Source organism: Homo sapiens, chromosome 1 (assembly GCF_000001405.40).
Source record: "Homo sapiens chromosome 1, GRCh38.p14 Primary Assembly".
Classification (NCBI taxonomy): domain Eukaryota; kingdom Metazoa; phylum Chordata; class Mammalia; order Primates; family Hominidae; genus Homo; species Homo sapiens.
In genome coordinates, this window is record NC_000001.11 from 166,470,563 (window position 1) to 166,490,501 (window position 19,939).

Consider the following 19,939-nt stretch of genomic DNA (forward strand, 5'->3'; position numbering starts at 1 on the left):
ATTCTTGGAAACTTAACAATTGGGTCTGACCAACCAATCCCAGCAGGCTTTGTCTGATCTAAGTGACCTTTCTCCTGTGTAAATGACTACTTTCACAATGCTTCTGACTCTTAGGGGAAAAAATCCCTGCATCCAGTTTCTGGAAAGCTGCTTTCGTTTACTGGAGGCACTCAATAAAGCAAAGTCAGTAGAGGCAGTCATGATTCAAAGGGCAGACCACCTGGGCAAAGTGTTGGGGAGGTATTGGGCAGGTCTCACCACCCACATTGGCTTCTATGGCAATGGCCCAGCAAGCAGTGATGTTGCACCATGAGATGACATGTAAATTATACAATACAGGTTCAATAAGTCAGCCCCAAAATTCAACTTAAAGAGGATGTGATATGTATTCATTGTATGATATACTATTTATTTATCCTATTCTCTTCATGGGAGTATAGGTAGAGAATGTGACTTTAGATCAGTAAGAAGAAATTTTCACATTATTCTTGCTTTAATAGTACATTTTAGTGCCATTTACTGAGCTACACTGTCTTTGGTAATACATTCATTTATTCATTCACTCATTCCTCCCATATTTACTGGGTCCCTATGGCAGGCAAGAGGTAGTCTTAGGCATAGTATATTTAAAGACAAGTAAACTAGCCTTATGTTCTGGAGGTCACAGTCTAGTGGAGAGACAAATACATACACAAATCACAATTTAACTTGCCAATTAATATTTTAGTACAGATGTAAACACAGTTTTATGTTAGCAATAGAGCTGAACAACAGGTTGAGATATTTAATATGATACTTCCTAAAAATATCGAGGGACTAAGTGTAAGGTCCTCTGAACAGGCTACACTGTGGTCGAGCCATTGTGACCCCTGTGACCCACACGTATAGGCTTCCTGGAGTCACAAAGCCTGGAGCAACAGGAGATCCACTAAAGAAGAAGAAACAGCTGGTTCCTGTCTTAACTGATTAACCAACCTTGCAACATTCCACCATTGTGATATGCTCCTGCCCTACCCTAAGTAATCGATCGACCTTGTGATATCGTGCCTTGTGACCTCCCCCCACCTCGTGACTATGCACCTTGTGACATTCTTCCCCTGCCCAAAAAAACTGCCCCTAACTGTAACTTTCCACTACCTACCCCAAACCAATGAAACCAGTTCCACTCCCACCACCCTTCGCTGACTCCTTTCTCGGACTCAGCCCACTTGCACCCAAGTGAATAAACAGCCTTGTTGCTCACACTAAGCCTGCTCAGGTGGTCTCTTATACAGATGAGCTTAACAGTAAGTAATAGTTTAAAGGAATATCCCAAGAGGGGCGTGATGAAGAAAGGACCCAATATTTCAGACTAATTGTATGTCCTGCACAAATTCCCTGCTCCTACCTCAGTAAAGCCCCACTGATAGTGGCTTCTGAGTTATTTAGTCAGCACCCTTTGTAGGAGGGGCTCTATAGCAGTGTTCACTGCTCTGTACTCTGAGCTCACTGGCACTCAGGTTATACCTAAATCATGGCACAGAGTTCCAACTCGCTAGCTCAAAAAATTAGGGTTATTTTGAAGAGACAGAGGGCTTTAATACAGCAGTTCTGAAAAGCTAAGGATGCTGTATTTCCTTCTCATGGACTAGGACCATTACCTTTCTGTTTTTCTTTGACTGCACGACTCTGCTCTCTCGCTGCTGGATGGAATTCTCATTTTACCTTACATAAAGCACATAAAGGCTGCCCTTGCCTCCTCTCTAGCTTTGTAACTCTCTTTTTGGCCTCTCCCACTCATTGCTAACTCTTAAAAGTGTTAGTAGCTATATTTGTCCGTTTTCACACTGCTGATAAAGACATACCCAAGACTGGACAATTTACAAAACAAACTTATTGGTCTTACAGTTCCCAACTATCCCCCAAAGTTTTAACTCATTTCAGCATTAACTCAAAAGTCCACAGTCCAAAGTCTCATCCAAGATAAGGCAAGTCCCTTTTGCCTATGAGCCTGTAAAATCAAAAGCAAGTTAGTTACTTCCTAGATACAATGGGGGTACAGGCATTGGGTAAATACAGCCATTCCAAATGGGAGAAATTGGCCAAAACAAAGGGGCTACAGGCCCTGGGCAAGTCTGAAATCCAGTGGGGCAGTCAAATCTTCAGGCTTCAAAATGATCTCTTTTGATTCCATGTCTCACATCCAGGTCATGCCTATGTAAGAAATGGGTTCCCATAGTCTTGGGCAGCTCTGTCCCTGTGGCTTTGCAGGGTGCAGCTTCCTTCCTGGCTGCTTTCATGGGCTAGCACTGAGTATCTGTGGCTTTTCCAGGTGCATGGTGCAAACTGTTGGTGGATCTACCATTCTGGAGTCAGGAGGACAGTGACCCTCTTCTCACAGCTCCACTAGGCAGTGCCCCAGGAGGGACTCTGTGTGGAGGCTCCAACTCCACATTTCCCTTCTGCACTGCTCTAGCAGAGATTCTCCATGAGGCGCCTGCCTCTGCATCAAACTTCTGCCTGGGCATCCAGGCATTTCCATACACTGGTGTTCCCAAACCTCAATTCTTGACTTCTGTGCACCCGCAGGCTCAATACCATGTGGAAGCTGCCAAGGTTTGGGGCTTGACCCCTCTGAAGTCACGGCTTGAGCTCCATGTTGTCCCCTTTCATCCATGGATGGAGTGGCTGGGAAGCAGGGCACCAAGTCCCTAGGCTGCACACAGCATGGGGACCCTGGGCCAGGCTGCGGACGAAACCATATTTTGCTATTAGGCCTCTGAGCCTGTGATGGGAGGGGCTGCCATGAAGACCTCTGACATGCGCTGGGGACATTTTCCTCATTGTCTTGGTGATTAACATTTGGCTCCTTGTTACTTATGCAAATTTCTGCAGCTGGCTTGAATTTCTCCTCAGAAAATGGGATATTTTTTCTATGGCAGTGTCAGGCTGCAAATTTTCCCAACTTTTATGCTCTGTTTCTCTTTTAAAACTTAGTGCTTTTAACAACACCCAGGTCACCTCTTGAATGCTTCGCTGCTTAGAAATTTCTTCCACCAGATACCCTAAATCATCTCTCTCAAGTTCCAAGTTCCACAAATCTCTAGGGCAGGGACAAAATGCTGCTAGTCTCTTTGCTAAAACATAGCAAGAGTCACCTTTACTCCAGTTCCCGACAAGTTCTTCATCTCCATCTGAGACCACCTCAGCCTGGATTTCATTGTCTGTATCATTATCAGTATTTTGGTCAAAGCCATTCAACAAGTCTCTAGGGAGTTCGAAACTTTCCTACATTTTTTGCCTTCTTCTGAGCCCTCCAAACTGTTCCAACCTCTGCCTGTTACTTAGTTCCAAAGTCGCTTCCACATTTTTGGGTATCTTTTCAGTAGCACCCCACTCTACTGGTACCAATTTACTCTGTTAGTCCATTTTCACACTGCTGATAAAGACATACCTGAGACTGGGCAATTTACAAAAGAAAGAGGTTTATTGGGCTTACAGTTCCACATGGCTGGGGAGGCCTCACAATCATGGTGGAAGGTGAAAGGCATATCTCACATGGATGGCAGCAGGCAAAGAGAGAGCTTGTGCAGGGAAAAATCTCATGAAACTTATTCACTATCAAGAGAACAGTACGGGAAGATCTGCCCCCATGATTCAATTACCTCCCACCAAGTCCCTTCCACGACATGTGGGAATTCATGATGAGATTTTGGTGGGGACACAGCCAAACCATATCAGGAGCTCACCACCAGTACTCAGCTGAGACAAGAGCTGGGAAAAAAATGCACTGGCCAGAGCACAGCTGCTTAGGACACTAGGGGATCTGTACAGGAATTCCCCAGAAGGAAGCATGGGTGGGTGGGCACCTTGAAATATGGCAGCAGGTTACAGGAAGTGCTTCTAGTTAGATGCCAAGCTATTCTGTGCTTTGCCTCTGAACTTGCTCATATTGCCTCTATTTTTGAAATTGTACATAGATAAATCCCCAAAGGAATCATATTTGTTCAATGCTTAGCTGTCTTCCTAGCATTTTACTAAGCTTTTTACTTTCAATGTGGTCCTTACAAAAAGTAGATAGAGCCAGTATTACTGCAACCCCATTTTCCTGACAGCTCACTGAAGAACAGTCACTTGTTCAGAGAATGCAAGTCCCAAATAGTGAAGCTAGGCCAAGTACATGGGCAGACAGAAGAAGGAAAGCCCAGCATCTACCAATCTTTGACCATCAACACTTAGAAGTAAATGACCTGCTTCAGTGACTTCTCATACTCCATCACTTTCCAAATAACATGTAAAACCCATAGCTCCTGCAGCATTTGAGGATATATGCCAAGCACTTTTAAAAACAGTTTTATTTTGAATTGATAAACAATTATTCTATACATATTTGGGTCACAATATGATGTTTCAATACACTCATAAATTGTGGAATGATCAAATCAGGCGAATAAGTGTGTCTATCACCTCAAATATTTATCATTTCTTTGTGGTGAGAACATTTAAAATCATATTCTTTAGTTATTTTGAAATATATAATACATTGACCTTGTGAAATACATCTGTTTCTGGGTAAGCTTTAAAGTTTTTTATAATTATTATTATTTTGACCTTTGAGCGCAAAGCTGATGAGGGCAATTGTCACCTTTCTCCAGAAATGGGCACATAAATACAATATTTTTCATGAAATTTCAGAAGATTAAATCTCCTGGTTTAGAAATACTGCTCACTGATTTAGAGGCAATAGTGTGTTTATTTGCAAAAGCTTATTCCCTATATAGCGGTCTTTTGTGAATATGTGTGTATATCAACAATACAACTTTCTCACTTGGCATTTTCTTTGCAGAAAGGCAGAGTATTGTTAAAATTCCCTTTTCGGAGCCATCTCTTTCTGGATTAAATGAGTTAGTGCAGATAGAATACTTAGATTGGTGGCTTTCCTAAGGTAAACACTAACCATTAACAGTCATTATCCTCATTTCTCTACACTCATGGAACCTTAAATTTGGAAAGGCTATGCCATATCTCTCTAGAAATTCATTTTTTCTGATAGATGGATATCTAGTCCCTGCTTGATTACTTCCCACAACAGGTTGCTTACAACCTCACAGGAAAATCTAATTTAGTGTTAGACAGCATTTGATGACTCTGTGGCATAATCCCCAAAACAACAACTGTTGAACATGTATGTGTCCGTACATTTATCCATCTCTCATGTGTCAGTTTATCCCTATGTTCTTCTATTTGAAAGACTTAAAATCAAGGGTGTATTGGCATATATATCTGCTTCGTAAGCTATATTACCAAGGGAAAAAAGGTCAAGCATCAGCTATAAAGAAAAAAAATAACTTATTTATTACACATCACTCAATTTTCACAAAAATTGTGAAAGAACTTTAAATGAGATGGTAAATCTCACCAAAGATTTTTACACATAGGAAGATCTAAAAAAAAATGATTACTCAGAATTCACTTTTCTTGAAATCTGTGAAGTAAACAGCATGATCTCTGTTGGTTCCAATCCAGTCCTCTGGTTTCAGAAGGAGGTAGAAGGAGCTGGCATGTGACACCCATATTTGTCCTTTGGTTCTCAGATAAAGATGTGCAGTATGAGGAAGCATCCTGGTTTCTCTTGCACTGGCCAATGGAACATTGTGGTGAGGCTGAGGGGAAGCAAAGGTCATCTGTCTCTGGCACAGTTATGGGCTGCAGTGGTCATCAGACTGACCCTCATTTACCTAGGTATGTAACTTTCCTATCTTGGGGAATCCTAATGGTGGAGGGATGATTTATGCAAAGCAAAGGAAATGCCTCTCCTTTATAACAGTCTGTGGTTAAGTAAAACAAATTTAAAATTATCTTGACAATGTCAAACAATAAGTCACTAACCCAAATAAATAACCCCTTTTAGAAGAAAACCTGACTTCTGTAGAGATTTCAGTTTTATAAAGGAAAAAGCCTGTTAGAATCAGAATGTCCAAGCCCAAACCAAAAATAGCACTTACTTTTCAACAAAGGTATCTATCTGTTTTACCCCCCTCTAAGTGTTGTCAGACTACACTTAAAGGATTATGTTCTGTTCTCATTTTAAATTTATTTTTAAAAATTTATTTATTTATTTTTTATTGTACTCTTTGAAGTGTTTCACTTTGAAGGAATGGTGACAAAAGGGAACTTCATTAAAGGAGAACAATAAGAATATTAAAGAGATAAATGCAGCTTGGTGAACATTTAAAAACCACTAAAGTTATTTAACCTGAGAGGGACATTCACTGGGGGAGGAGGACACTCACGGAGGGAGGAAGAGGAGCAGGATAGCTGTGTTTGACCACAACTCACCATCATATAAAAGATGGAGTCAACACGATGTGTGTTCTTGTTGAGCAAAACAAGTAGTGGATAGAGGCTCCAGGAAGGTCGACTTGGATCTAAATAAGAAGGGATTTCCAACAAGAAGTAATGATCTAAAATGAAACGGTCTGCCTTGTGAAGTAGTAGATTTCCTAATTAAGGAAATATTTAAGCAGAAACTAATGATCATTAATGAGGAGTTTATAGATCAATGGTTCTCAAACTTTAGTATGGCAAGAATCACCCAAAGTCCTTGTTAAATCAGATTATTAGTTCCAACTCCCCAAAATTCCAATTCAACATGTGTGGAGTGGGTCCTCTGAATTGAATTTGCCTTTGCCTAAGTTCTCTGGTGCTGCTGCTGCTGCTACTGCCGGTCTGTGGGTTAATTTTGCATAGCAAGTCTCTGCTAATATATGATGTAAAATTGGACCAGATGGACTCATTTTCCAATTTTGAGAGTCCATGATGATAATGATAGAAAAAACATAGTATGCTGTATGGATTTGGGTATTACCAAAATGAACTTGCTCTGTGAAAATGTATATAAAATAACTTCATGTGTTTACTATGGTAAATAAGATTTCTGTTAGTATCAGTTAATGTTGGTGTAACATAGAGCAGTGGTCTCCAATCTTTTTGGCACCAGGGAAGAGTTTTGTGGAAGACAATTTTTCCACAGAGTGGGGTGGGGTGGGGATGATTTGGGGAAGATTCAAATGCATTACACTTATTGTGCACTCTATTTCTATTATTATTACATTGTAATATATAATGAAATGATTATCCAATTCACCATCATGTAGAATCAGTGGGAGCCCTGAGCTTGTTTTCCTGAAACTAGATGGTCCCATCTCAAGGGATAGGAGACAGTAACAGATCATTAGATATTAGATTCTCATAAGGAGCATGCAACCTAGATCCTTCACATGTGCAGTCCACAATAGCGTTTGCACTCCTGTGAGAATCCAATGCCACCACTGATCTGACAGGAGGCAAAACTCAGGCAGTAATGCAAGCAATGGGCAGTGGCTGCAAATACAGATGAAGCTTTGCTTGCTAGTCCACCGCTCACCTCCTGCTGTGCAGCCCAGTTCCTAACAGGCCACAGACCAGTACCAGTCCATGGCCCACGGATTATGGATCTCTGACACAGAAGGACCAGTAGTAAAAGAAGTTGAACATGGTACTATATATAAATTCTAGTTATAAAATGGGTTTACTGTTAGACTGCACAAATGCAATGCAAAAGCTAAAGTAACCTTTGCATTTCTTGAATCTAAACAATTATTTTCCATTTATTTTCCTTAAATAGAGATTGAGAAATTCAAAGGCAAATATTTCCACAGTGAGAAATATAAAATTTAGAGGGATTTATGGGAAACAGAATCCTCATGACTGGCATTGGAAATTCTGGCTCTGATCTGGCTGTGGTGCTCAGCCACACTGCAAAGCAAGCCTATTTTCTTACAGCTGCATCTTGTTGTTGTGGTAATCCTCCACCTGCATGGAGAGGCACAAAGTATAGGATAACCAAGATTCAGGGGTTATTTTTATGGCTTCCCACTGAAAACACCTTATCTACACACAAGAGACAACAAAGGATTAAGTGTGTTGGCTGGGCCAAATGGATTCCCAGTAATCAGATCAGAAATATTCAGGTCGTTTGCTCTCTGCCAAGATCTCTACTAGTTAACACAGATATATTGTAGATGATTACATGGTTATTAAAAAAAATTACATTATAGGACTCCAGGCATTTGTGATCCCATTTATGGTTAAAAAAAAAAAAACCTATATATCTATGGTTATATGTGCATATGCAATTTCAAAAAAGATTCAAGTAACCGTTAACAGTGGCTTCCTCTGGGCATAAAGAATGGATATGCATGTGTGTGGCGGGGGGGTGAGGGGGTTATATATATTTTGTTAACAGATCGAGAGTGAGATTACAATACTTAACTAGTGAAACAAAATATTCAGCAACTTTGATAATTAATTCAGACCATCACTCTGCTACTCCTAATGACAAGGTTTAGAAATATAGCTACAACTGGCAAAGAAGATTTGGGGAGATTTAGAGTGATCTAGATAGGCGGTTTAAATACTGCAAATTTTCCAAACTGTTATTTGACAATGCACTGACTTTGAAGTCTCTGAACAATCTGTGAACAGTAGTTGTGTTCATTTAATGTGGTTAACAAGGGGTAGATAGATCAGCTGTTGGCTATGTGCTAAACAATTTCACAATAATTAATTTGTACCAGGGGAGCTAAGACACCAAGGTAATTTACCTAAACCAAGGGTCAGTTTTGTCAATGTGCAAGTCCGCCCTCTGCTGGCCATTCTGGGAAAATCACAGCTATTTTATAGCAACTGTAGTTATCTCTGATGGTCCAGATCATTCTTTCAAGAGTACTTATTATTCACCTACTGTGTGCCAGGTACATTATCATACATGATACAAGTGTCTGTTGTATGATTCTCTTTACTTTTTTGCATGTGTAAAATATTTTATCACTAAAAATATCCAATGTAAAGAGCAAAAAAAGTCTGAAAAATACGACAAATAAAACAATATTATTTTAAAGAAATTCTGATAGTAGTTCTTTGAGCCAATTAAATGAGGTTAAATTCCTGTAATCAATAAAATATTATAGCATCTTAAAGCTTGGCATTGCTGAAGAAATTATTTAGTTCAACCCCCATATTTTACAGCCAAGAAAACTGAGGGTCCAAGACATTAATAGTTAGTGTAAAGGAAGGCAGGAAATTACTTAAAAGGCTCGTACTAAAATCGACATCTCCTTCCTAGAAGATTTGCTTACATTTCAACCTAAGAATAAAAGAAATAATCAACTTTTTTTTTCTTTTTACAGATGTAAGCAATGATCACTGACTTGACAAAGGAAATGCATAGGGATTAATTTAAATGGTTTGTGTAGAGATATTTATTTAGGGTTCATTCACACAGAAGCAAATTGCTTAAGCATGAAATTGGATGAGGATACTAGAGAGTGAATTGAGAAGTAAAAGTGAGGGAAGCTGATCCCAGCCCTTTGCAAATTTAAGATTTAGGATCCCCAGCTTGGAAATGGTTATGCTAATTAAGGACTGAAGACTGGCAGAGTTTAGAAGATCAAGAAGGTGAGAGAGCCCAGGAGCACCAGGCACTGCTGGGGTTTAGATAGGTAAAGGACAAAGTACTTGATCTTGTGAAGCCTATAGATTAGCAGGAAAAGTACATAGTCACACCACCAAAGATTGTAAAGTGTTAGTTTTCCAAGTCTTTTTTTTTTGAGACGGAGTCTCTCTGTTGCCCAGGCTGGAGTGCAGTGGCGTGATCTCAGCTCCGCTCACTGCAAGCTCCGCCTCCCGGGTTCACGCCATTCTCCTGCCTCAGCCTCCCGAGTAGCTGGGACTACAGGCACCCGCCACCACTCAGTATTTATTGGCCCTTACTTTACAGATAATTCTAACCATGGGTTGTCTGGTTTGACAGGCCAGAACCACAAGTGAGAAGGGAAATACTGCTGGCTGCAGATTCAGTGACAAGAGCTATAATAATGAACAACACAGGGAGGAGTCATTAAAACTGCATTATAGCATTTGAGCAGTAATTAAGGTGCTTAATGATCAGAATAAGCAATAAAAAAGGTTAAGTTATGTTCGTTGCACACTGTTTAAGAAATGAGACAAGAGCTTAATCAATTTTAGAAATATTTTAATCAAAACAAAGTGAAAAAGTAAAGAAATTGTAAAAGAAGTATTTTCTTAACTGTATAAATGTAAGTTTCCTCAACATCCTGATAATATGACAGTGCCAGACAAATGAGACTTTGCTATATGCTATATGATTGTGTGCCAATCATCACCACTATGTGAAATTCAGCTAAATATCTCAGAACAAAGAGAACCAGGGGTTGTGATAAATGCTAGATCAGAGCTGAGAATGAGTCCCCAGAGCCAGCTTTTATAGGTGCCTCTGTCTTGTGCTAGTGTAGACAGGCTGTGCTTAAGGCCCTACCGTGGAAAGACAGGTGAAGATGTTTCCAGTGGAAGACCAGAGCTTTGCCTTCCTGGCTTTTTACTTTTCTTAGTATGAGATCAACCTCATATAGGGAGAGTGAAGGAAGAGGAAAGGAGGAGGAAAAGGAGAACCCTGGAGTCCAAATCTTTCCTAGAGACCATTTTTTAATACATCTGTAGAAACAGAAGGGGAAAAAAGAGTATTCAATAACATTTTCCAGAATGAATAAATGGATAAGTAAATGAAGTGAGACAAATACTAATATGAGCCATCTTCCCCAGTTTTGAAGATTTCTCAACTCTCAATGACAGTGAGAGCTTAGCGACAACCTTCCCAAAACATCCATTTCTGTCAGAATAATGATCAAACCCAATGTGAAAGAATTCACGGAAATAGCTGCCACTTTTTAACACCGTAGCACTGTGGAGAATGTTGATGTCATCTTTGCCAAATAACACACCTTCTCATTTCCTTTCTTTGAAGATTCTGTGAATATCACTGATAACCAGATATTCCTATACAATTAGGTATTCCCACTTCATGTGGAAAAAGTGACTTTGGTTGTTGTTGTTAATGCAGCCATCGGGAGCTGTAATGCCAACAAGGAAATTCCAAACTCTCTGGGCCACCTGAGTGTTAAAAGGTAACACAGTTAAAAGGAATGAATTCTTGTGGCTTCCTTTTTGCTACAGCCAGCCACCTTGAACCAAAGGAGCATTAAAATTGAGTCAGTTTAAATGAAAGAATGGGTCAATTACAACCGAAATTACTGTTCACTAACTTTGTTTAAAATAATTTTTTTATCCAGATAAATTTTATTTAGCTTAAAGGCAATAACAGGGACACATCTTCCTTTTTTAAAATTATTTTTGGAGAATTTAGAAAGGCCCGAAAAGCCTAAAAAATTGTTATCAAGGGTGGGAAACTCATTCATAACAATTTTTACAAAACTGAGAGAATCCCCCATCCTGGTACACACTTTCTGGGCTCTCCCACAGCACAAAACCAGGATAGTCCAGAATCAGCCGCCAGCATCAGCATCACTCCAGGGCCCTGGGTTCCATTTAGAACTTGTACTAAAATTATTTTGGGGATGAGATTTCTCCTTCATTCTTTTTCTTTTTATCTATTTTGTGGAACAGACAGTAATTGAGGAGCCAGAGAAGGAAAAACATGCCATTCTCAGCAATTCTCTTTAAAAATATAGGAATAAAAACTCCCATTTATATTGCTAACAGGGAAAGAAAAAAGTCAGGTCTTCATTTTCTTTCTAGAACTCTTCTTTTAGGTCCTTTCAATTAGCTTTGGAGAAGCTCAGAACTCGCACTCCCACGCTTTTACTTTCCTGGAACTATACTCCTTGGCCTTTCCTAAACCTTTCCTTATCCTGTGTTTGCCTTCATAGGACTGAACACAGTCCGGTCCTCCATGGAGAGGATGGCTGACATGGTCCAGAGAATAGAGGCCACAGGGAAAAGTAGGGTCCTTCACCACAGGCAATTACTGAATTTATGGGCTTAGGGGTGTGTGGTCAAATCCATAAGTCAGATTTTAGATAGAACTTCTAATGTCAGGAAGGCAGTTTTCAGGAATGCTAAAAAAAAAAAAAAAAAAAAAAAGAAAGAATACAAAACTCCTTATTGCAGACACTTACTCTGCCCTTGGTTTTTATATTCAGGTATAATTTGACTATCTTACAAGCCAAGAGAAAACTTTTTTCATAATGCAGAAATGATAGAAATAAAGAAGAAATTCACTTATGAAACAAATATGAGTGCTTACTGTGTGCTGGGAACTGTGTGGAGGAAGTTAGCCTGATTGCCCCAGGTAGTGTAATAAATGTGGTTCAGCATTTGAACCTACCAGATGCCAAAGCCAGTGTCCTTTGCTGTACATCATACTGTCTTCCATTCGTGCTCAACTGATGTTTTTCAGGAGTTTATAAACTGAAATATTTAAAACCCTACCAATGTGACATGTTTTTCTTTATTGCTGATTGCTTGCTGAAGCAAGCAAATTGTTCTATTGTACATAGGCAAAAGACGTATTTTTCTAACTACATTTATAAATATTTATAACAGAATGCCTTCTTGCAAGTTGTTTCCTTAATGTAATTTACAAATTGCATATTACAATGAGTGAAGCCAGAAATATTTTTCAATCAAACTGTATTTCCTAATGTGAAAATGTTTATCATCTTGATCCATTTAAACTATTTGAATAAAAGAATATGCATGTTAAAGAATTTTCAGTTAAAAGCCTTTCTTTGAAAGATTAGTATCATATACATCATCAAGTCCCAATTTCTGGCTCACAAGTGGAATCTGAGGTAATAATAATAAAAATATATTTTAACATTATAAAAGATTTGAAAAAGCATCTGTAATTTTATCAATCTTATTGAGCGTGTTAGTGTCATTCAAATATATCTGGTTCTGTTTCTGATCACCTAGTAGGATTTAGCTTCCCTGTCCCCTTTGGAGTTGACATGCCAATGTGACTTGCTTTGGCCAAATAAATGTAAGTAGAAGTGACATATTTCACTTCCATGTACAATCTTTTAGATATAGTACCAACCATATCTTTCCTCTGCCAACATTGAGACAATTAAGGAAGGATGTGTAAAGATGGAACCTTCTTCAGCCGGAGTACCAAAATGATTACAATGAGCAGAGTCTGATCGGGTAGCATGAGCTTTTGTTGTGAGTCACTGATATATAGGTATTGTTTGTTACCATAGCATAACCTAGCTTATCCTGACTGATATACCGACACAACCAATGGTTTCTGTTTCTTCATGTTCCCATCCACACTTTGTCCATATAGACATAGAGTTTTTACGTGGACATAATAATAGTATATAATATACTTTTCTTTGTTGTACACTTTTCAAAATATTATATTATAAACATTTCCCCAGCTTTTTCATGGACAGCATATTTATAATTTTAATAGTTATAAAACAGCCTACCATATTAACATTCAACTACTTATTAATTGTTCATTATTTGATCTTTTTATACATATAGCGTTTTTTCTTTTTCAAAAGTACTTTCTTGGGCTAAAGAAAATAAATAAATGTTTTTCTTTCAGTTTTGCAGTAAGGCATTTACAGTCAAACTTACCCTTTTCTTGAAATTGGTGCAAGAATTTTAGTACTAATGAAATTAAGAAAAGATATTCATGCTTTTCTCTTTATTTTGTCGTCCTTTGAAATTATGGTGCTAATTAGTTTAAAAGATAATACCCAGAATATTCTGGAACCACATCCAAAAAGATATCTTTCTGAGATTAAATCAGGTCACACTCTAAACCTGACACCCTGATAAAATAAATTACTTGATCATAGAATTTTTTTACTTACTATACAAGTTTGTGCCCCAAAGACAGATGAATTGTTCTTGCTGAGATTAAATTAGCAGTGTTTCATCCTCATGCTGAAGAAGAGCCGCAGTATTTCTATAGACTCTTTTATTAGTGATAAATATGTTTATACCACATTAATCCTTATGAAACCCAGGCTGGTTACTCTGCCAAGGGGAAAAAAAAAAACTCTGCTTTCTTCACTTTACAGTGATTATTTTTTGATGAATAATTTTATTTCTTTTCACACATAGACTATATATCTGAGGTTGTCTTCCACTTTTATGCACCCAGTATTTTATATTTATCTAACACTGTTTTCAAAGGCACTCAAAGGGCTTTTTAAATATTATTCCATAAAACACTTATAGAATGATGAAGTCAGCACTTTACACAAACATTGGAAACAGCCAAAGCCACCATTTGTGAAATGTTTAACTACTGCTAAGGTTTCTTCTCTTTTCCTTCTCCTGTTCTTTCCTTTCTCTTTCTCTCCCATCTTATGAATTATTTTCAGTTTTCCCTTAAGTTTCAGTGACACCACCACCAACATCCTGACAATAAAGATGAGGACTGGATAGAGAGGTGGGGCACTTTTTTCTCCTAATGCTCACTAATTTACGAGTGCCAATTATAGACTAGAGACCTACTGACCCTATCTGATCGGCAGCTGCACAATGATTCCCCAAGCTTGAAATTATCTCCAGCTTCGAGATGAGGAAACTCAGTGTGTAAATGGTGCTCCTGAGCAATTCTGAGCGAGCCTGCATTGGTCACGTAATCTTTCTAACACCAGATTCTTATGTCTAAAATGAAGCTAGTCATTCCTGTTTTACCATTCTCAAAGAGTGGCGAGGAGAATCAGATGAATAATGTATGCAAAAGTGCTTTGAAATTGTCTAGGTGAATACAAAGCCACATCAGTCTAATAAAATATAAATGATCATATTGTTAAACACCCTATCACTGCAGGAGAAACCAAAATATTTATTTTAAAAGCCTATTTCTCCAAATGAGAAATCTTATATCCTACTGCAGGAGAAGAGGATGTGGCAGAAAAACCTATTATTTTGATAAATATATCAAAGATATTTTGTGCTGAAAGGCATTTTTCATAAACAAAAACAATTGTTCTTTAGAGGCCCAGTTCTTAAGTAGTTTTGTGCCACCTGCCCCAGGTACTCCCAGCAGCTCTCAGGCACAGGATTTGCCTGCCAGAAGTCCTGGCTTCAATTCTTGGGTTACTTCTCTTGTGACTTTGAGAAAAATTACCCTATTGTTTGAAGTCGGCTTCACAGATAAAGTGACAATACCAACAACGTGCATGCCTAAGGATCAAGTGCAAAATTGTACATTGAAAACACTACATAAATTTAAAAATAAACCAGCCCTCATAGCATCTATTTCCATAAACTCAAAACAAGATTTTAACAAGAATGCCACTAGCTGACTCAGGTACATTTCTAAGTGAAAAAGAATTTGATCACCATCATATGTTAGTAACAAGAAAAGTATTCAACCATCATAGCTGATAGGAATGTGGAGGTCAAGTTTGCCTTCATTTTACAGATGATGACTTTGGGATGGGGAAGAGACTCGGCCTGTGTTGTAGGTGAGACTTGTTGCAGAGCCTCACTAGAAAGGAGTTCAACAGCTCAGGGTTCCTCCACTTTGCCAGCCTCACCCTGAGCCAACTGCCCACATCAGCCCTCCCACTTCTTGCCCCTAACTCACTTTTCAGCCCACCCCTCTTCCCCCTGAGCACCCACCAACGAGGCTCTAAAATCACCAGTGAACTTTCAACTGCCAAAGCCAATAGGCACTTTCTGATTTTAGTCTTTCTTTAGCATCTGCCACATAATTGCTCCTGCCTTCTTTACACTGTCTCTTCCTTGGTCATTGATGTTCCCATAGTTGCCTGATTTCCTCCTACCATTCTTGTCATACCTAGTTTACTGATTTTCTGAGTCTTTTTCCTCTGTCCACCATCAAATATTAGTGTTTATATATTCATTTTCACACTTACTTAGACCTTAGTTCATGCCAGGCACTGCTGTCTTATAAATATACATTCATTTTATATAACACATGACAACCTTAGAAAATAGATTGGGGAAACTGAGGCACAGGAAGGCCGATCAATTTGGTGTGCTGCTTCCTACCATGTTATGCCATCTCTGAGATTACTAGAGCTCCCCTTGTGGCCCTCCTGGCTCCTGACTCAGCCTGTTCTCATGAGGTATGGTCTTAGTATGATCTGTATCCCAAATTTGTATGTCTAGACTTGACCCTTCTCTTGAACATCACATTCCAACAGCACATTGGATATGATAATCTGCATTTACCACCACAAGCATCACAAATGTAATGGCATCCAAACTGAATTCATCATCTCTCCATCCCCAACTTGCCCATTACTCTGTCTTATTATCTCAGGTGTGTGACGTTGGACAAATATCTTAGTGCTCTGGGCCTCAGTTTCTTCATCTGTATAATTACCAGGTTGAACTAAATAATCTCCATGAATGTTTTTACTTTAACATTCTTTAATGCTCTAAACTTCATGTCCCTGCACTGTCTCCAGGTTTTACTCTCTCTCTCCCTTTTAGACTTCCTTTATTCATTCACCAATTCTAAAAGCAATAATTGAGCATATTCTGTAAGCCAAACACAGGGCAGGACACTTGTTGAATAAGATAAGACCCCTGACCTCAGAACTGGAGAGAGGAATGTGAGTGAAGAAAGGCAGTTCATACACTCCAACAGGGTGGCCATTGTTGTCACATGTGTCCAAACAGAGGCCTGGAGGTTGGAGGGGTCACCACTGAGCCAGCCACCAAATCAGAGCCTGCCACCCAGCTTGTTGCTTCATTCTCCCTTTCTTCCACAACCAAGCAATCCAGCAGTCCCTGAGCTCTGTATCTCTGCCTCCTAAATGCCAGTGTTGTCTGCCTCCTCCATCTTTGCACGCCCTTACCTTCACTTGTCACTTACCCCCTTTCATTCTGATCACGTTTACTGCTTGATCTTTTCTCCACTATTTATAGGGTGATATTTCTAAAACCCCAACCTGACCATGGCACTGTCTTGTTTGAAAGCCTCCAGTGATGCTTCATGTCAGTAAGAAAAGTCTTCCTTATGACAAATACCACCTTCGCCAGCAGACCCCTGGGAACCTGTCTTCTCTCAGTACCTTGGCTTTTGTGCTGCACTCTGAGAATGCTTTAAGGACCTGTGGTTCCCTGCACATGGGTCTACTGCGGCTCACTTCTGTGCCTGTGCATGTGCAGATTCCTCAGTTGTTCTGACTCTTATCCATGTGATAAATTTCTATTGATTCTTAGAAACCTAGCTCAGATAACATCTCTTTTGAGAATCTTCTCTGTTCCTGCCTCTCTTGAAGTTATACATTTTTATTTCTTGTGACACTTACATTTCTTAAACGTATTTATGTTACTGCCTATAACATACTGCATTGTAATTATTGCTTAATGCTTGTCTCCCAGCTAGAGTATTGAGTTTGTTGGGTTTGGACGGTGCCAGGTTAATATTTGTTCCTTTAGCAATGCCTGGAGAGCAGCCTATACTAGGCTCACAGTAAAGGTTTGTTGACTGGATGACTGAGGGAAAAGCCACAAAAGCAAGGACTGGAGTATGTTAGAACATCCCTACAAGAGTCCAAAATCTGAAGTGACAACAATGCAGGCAGTTTTGGCTACATCATTGGCATAAAAAGAAAGGACAGCAGAAAGCAGCTCCAGGATTTGGAGTGAGAGGTGATGGTCCACTCCCATATATGCTGAGCCCTTCTGCACCTTCTCTTCTCACATGCATCTGTGTTTGCCCCAGGAGATGCATCAGATCACACTAGACTCTTTAGAGACACCTACAGAGCAATGTCAGCCACCTTCTCCCAGTGTTTTACTATTTGCCATTTAAGGACAGCATCAGGAAATGGAAATCTGTTTATGCAGCAAGATAGGTCTGTGAAGGTAGATAATTGACTGACTCAGGCCCTTAAATATATAATTCGAGAAATAAATCTTCTGCAAATGGAGGGTGTTCCGAAGGCTTTGTATGTTTCAGAAGGGATGGGCAATGTTTAATTTGTTGTCTTCCATTTCTCATGTCCTCCCCTTGCCTCAAGTTAGCTTCCTGGGAAATTCTCCAAACATCAGTCAGAAGCTGTCCTAAGGTGGCCCTTGGGTGAGCAGGGTAGAGAGTGCTTCAGCCAGCAATCTTTTTTGCTTGCTCACTCAGGTAGGCATCAAGCCAGAAAGACAGGTTGACCCCAACTGTAATGAGCTAAGCCTTTTGTAGAAGCCTCATCTTCTCTGTATGTTTTGTAGCAGAGATGGGCTAGCGTTTTGCCACTACTACAAATACTACAGCCACAAAACCAGAACTCTGATACCAGAAAACTGCTAAAATCAATAGCCTTCTTTATTATAGAGGGTCAGCTTCTGGATTTCCTGTGCATTATGCAGCCATGAGTGAAGCCCAGCCCCATCCTCTTCCAACTTCCCCACCATCTCCCACCGGCACCCAACATACACTCAAGGCTCTGGCCTCCATAGGACAACAGTGACCACCTTGTTGAAGTATATGAGCTGCCTTTCTTCACTTACCTTCTCCCCCGTGGAAATTCTTATTTTATTCAACCGTATATCCTCAGGGCTCAGACCAGGGATTGGCCCATTGAATATGCTCAATTATTGCTTATAGAATTGATGAATGGATAAAGAACATTTAAAAGGGAGAGAGATAGAGAGTAAATCCCAGAGACAGTGCAGGGACAAGAGGTTTAGAGAATTAAAGAATACTAAAGTAAGAATGTTTATGGAGACTACTTAGTTTAACCCATTATTTATACACATAAGAGAACTGAAGCCCAGAGAGATAAAGAGATTTGTCCAAGAATATTCATATGGTCAGCAGTTGTTTACATTTGAAGGGAGTAAATGTAAATCATTTAGGTCTTAAGCCAATTCTTTCCCCCTTCCCTCCCTGTAACCACTGTTTCTCAATGAAGGATGAAGGTCCATAGAATTAATAATTTCATCTATACCACTAATATTTATTGAGCCTATATCATGTGCCAGGCCCTGTTCTAGGATCTAGGAATAGGGAAATACACAAAACCAACAAAAGCCCTTATGTTTCTGGAGCTTACAGATTCTGGCGAAAGAGGTTTATATAAAGTAAAATAGACAATTATATAGTTAGAAGAGATTGTGACATGGGAAAGAAAAGGGCGTAATAAGAAAGAGGAAGAGCAGGGGGCCAGAAAGGGACTTGGAAAGTGGCATTTGAGAAAGAGCAAAGACTTGAAGGTAGAGAGGGTGCATTGGCACTATTTAGGGGAAGGATGCCTAGGTCCAGGGAAAAGCAAGGGCAAAAGCCCTGAGTCAGGAGTGTGCCTGGCATGTCTGAGGTGTGGCATGTTCAGTGTGTGCAAGGGGAAGAAGTGAAGGGTGAGGTCATTGAGAGAGAGAGAGAGAGAGAGCAAGAGAGAGCTAGAGAGCCAGTTAAACTGTGAAGCTCCTCGTGGGCCACTGTAAGCAGCCTGACTTACTCTGTGAGATGAGAAGCCACTGGGAGGCTTTGAGCAGATGAGTGACTTATGAGTTCAGCAGGTAACTCTGACTGCTATGTTTTGAAGAGATTATAGGTGGAAATAAGACGAGAAGTCTTCTCCCAATGGAAGGTCTTTTCTCGATCGAAGGGTTCCTGGTCTCACGGGCTTCCAGGAATGAAGCCGTGGGCCGCAGTGGCGAGTGTTACAGCTAGATTAGAGAAACCCGCGGACCCAAAGAGGGTGCGGTGGCAAGATTTATTAGAGCAAAAGCGAAAGTAAAATGAAAGCAAAAGTAAAGCTTCCACGTGGTGGAAGGGGACCTGGAAGGGCTGCCGTTTTTTTGCTTCTGTCTTATGCTTATGTCCCCTTATGACCCCTCGTCTTTTCCTTTTTCTGTCCTACATAACTAGCTTATTTTCAATCCGCTTGTGGGTTGACGGGCCTGATTGGTTAAAAACATCAGGCTGCAGCTAGAGCTTAAACTCCCTATATGATTGGTTGAGGTTTCAATCCCTTAGCTTGCAGCTGTGACTCATTTTGGCTTAGGGGAAAGTCCCCTTAGGGAAGTTCCTATTGGCCCAGGAAGTCCAGCCAACTTAGCCACTTAGTCCCTCACAAAGGGTGAAAGCAATAGGCCC

The 19,939-nt window shown here is 39.8% G+C and overlaps 1 long non-coding RNA gene and 1 pseudogene across 1 annotated transcript, besides 1 other annotated feature; one reads left to right on the forward strand and one right to left on the reverse strand.

Moving 5' to 3' along the window:
* FMO7P (flavin containing dimethylaniline monoxygenase 7, pseudogene) lies at nucleotides 4,183-11,003 on the forward strand (annotated as a pseudogene).
* On the reverse strand, nucleotides 5,210-19,477 carry LINC01675 (long intergenic non-protein coding RNA 1675). Its single transcript, NR_146890.1, has 3 exons — nucleotides 19,299-19,477; nucleotides 6,319-6,407; nucleotides 5,210-5,642 (listed from the first exon to the last, which is right to left on the reverse strand). It is a non-coding gene; the product is annotated as a long intergenic non-protein coding RNA 1675 (long non-coding RNA).
* Nucleotides 19,480-19,649: an enhancer, noted in NCBI's record as "active region_2026". NCBI's record gives its function as "activates an Ori minimal core promoter by ATAC-STARR-seq in GM12878 lymphoblastoid cells {active_cell/tissue: GM12878}" and the evidence as "EXISTENCE:reporter gene assay evidence [ECO:0000049][PMID:35858748]".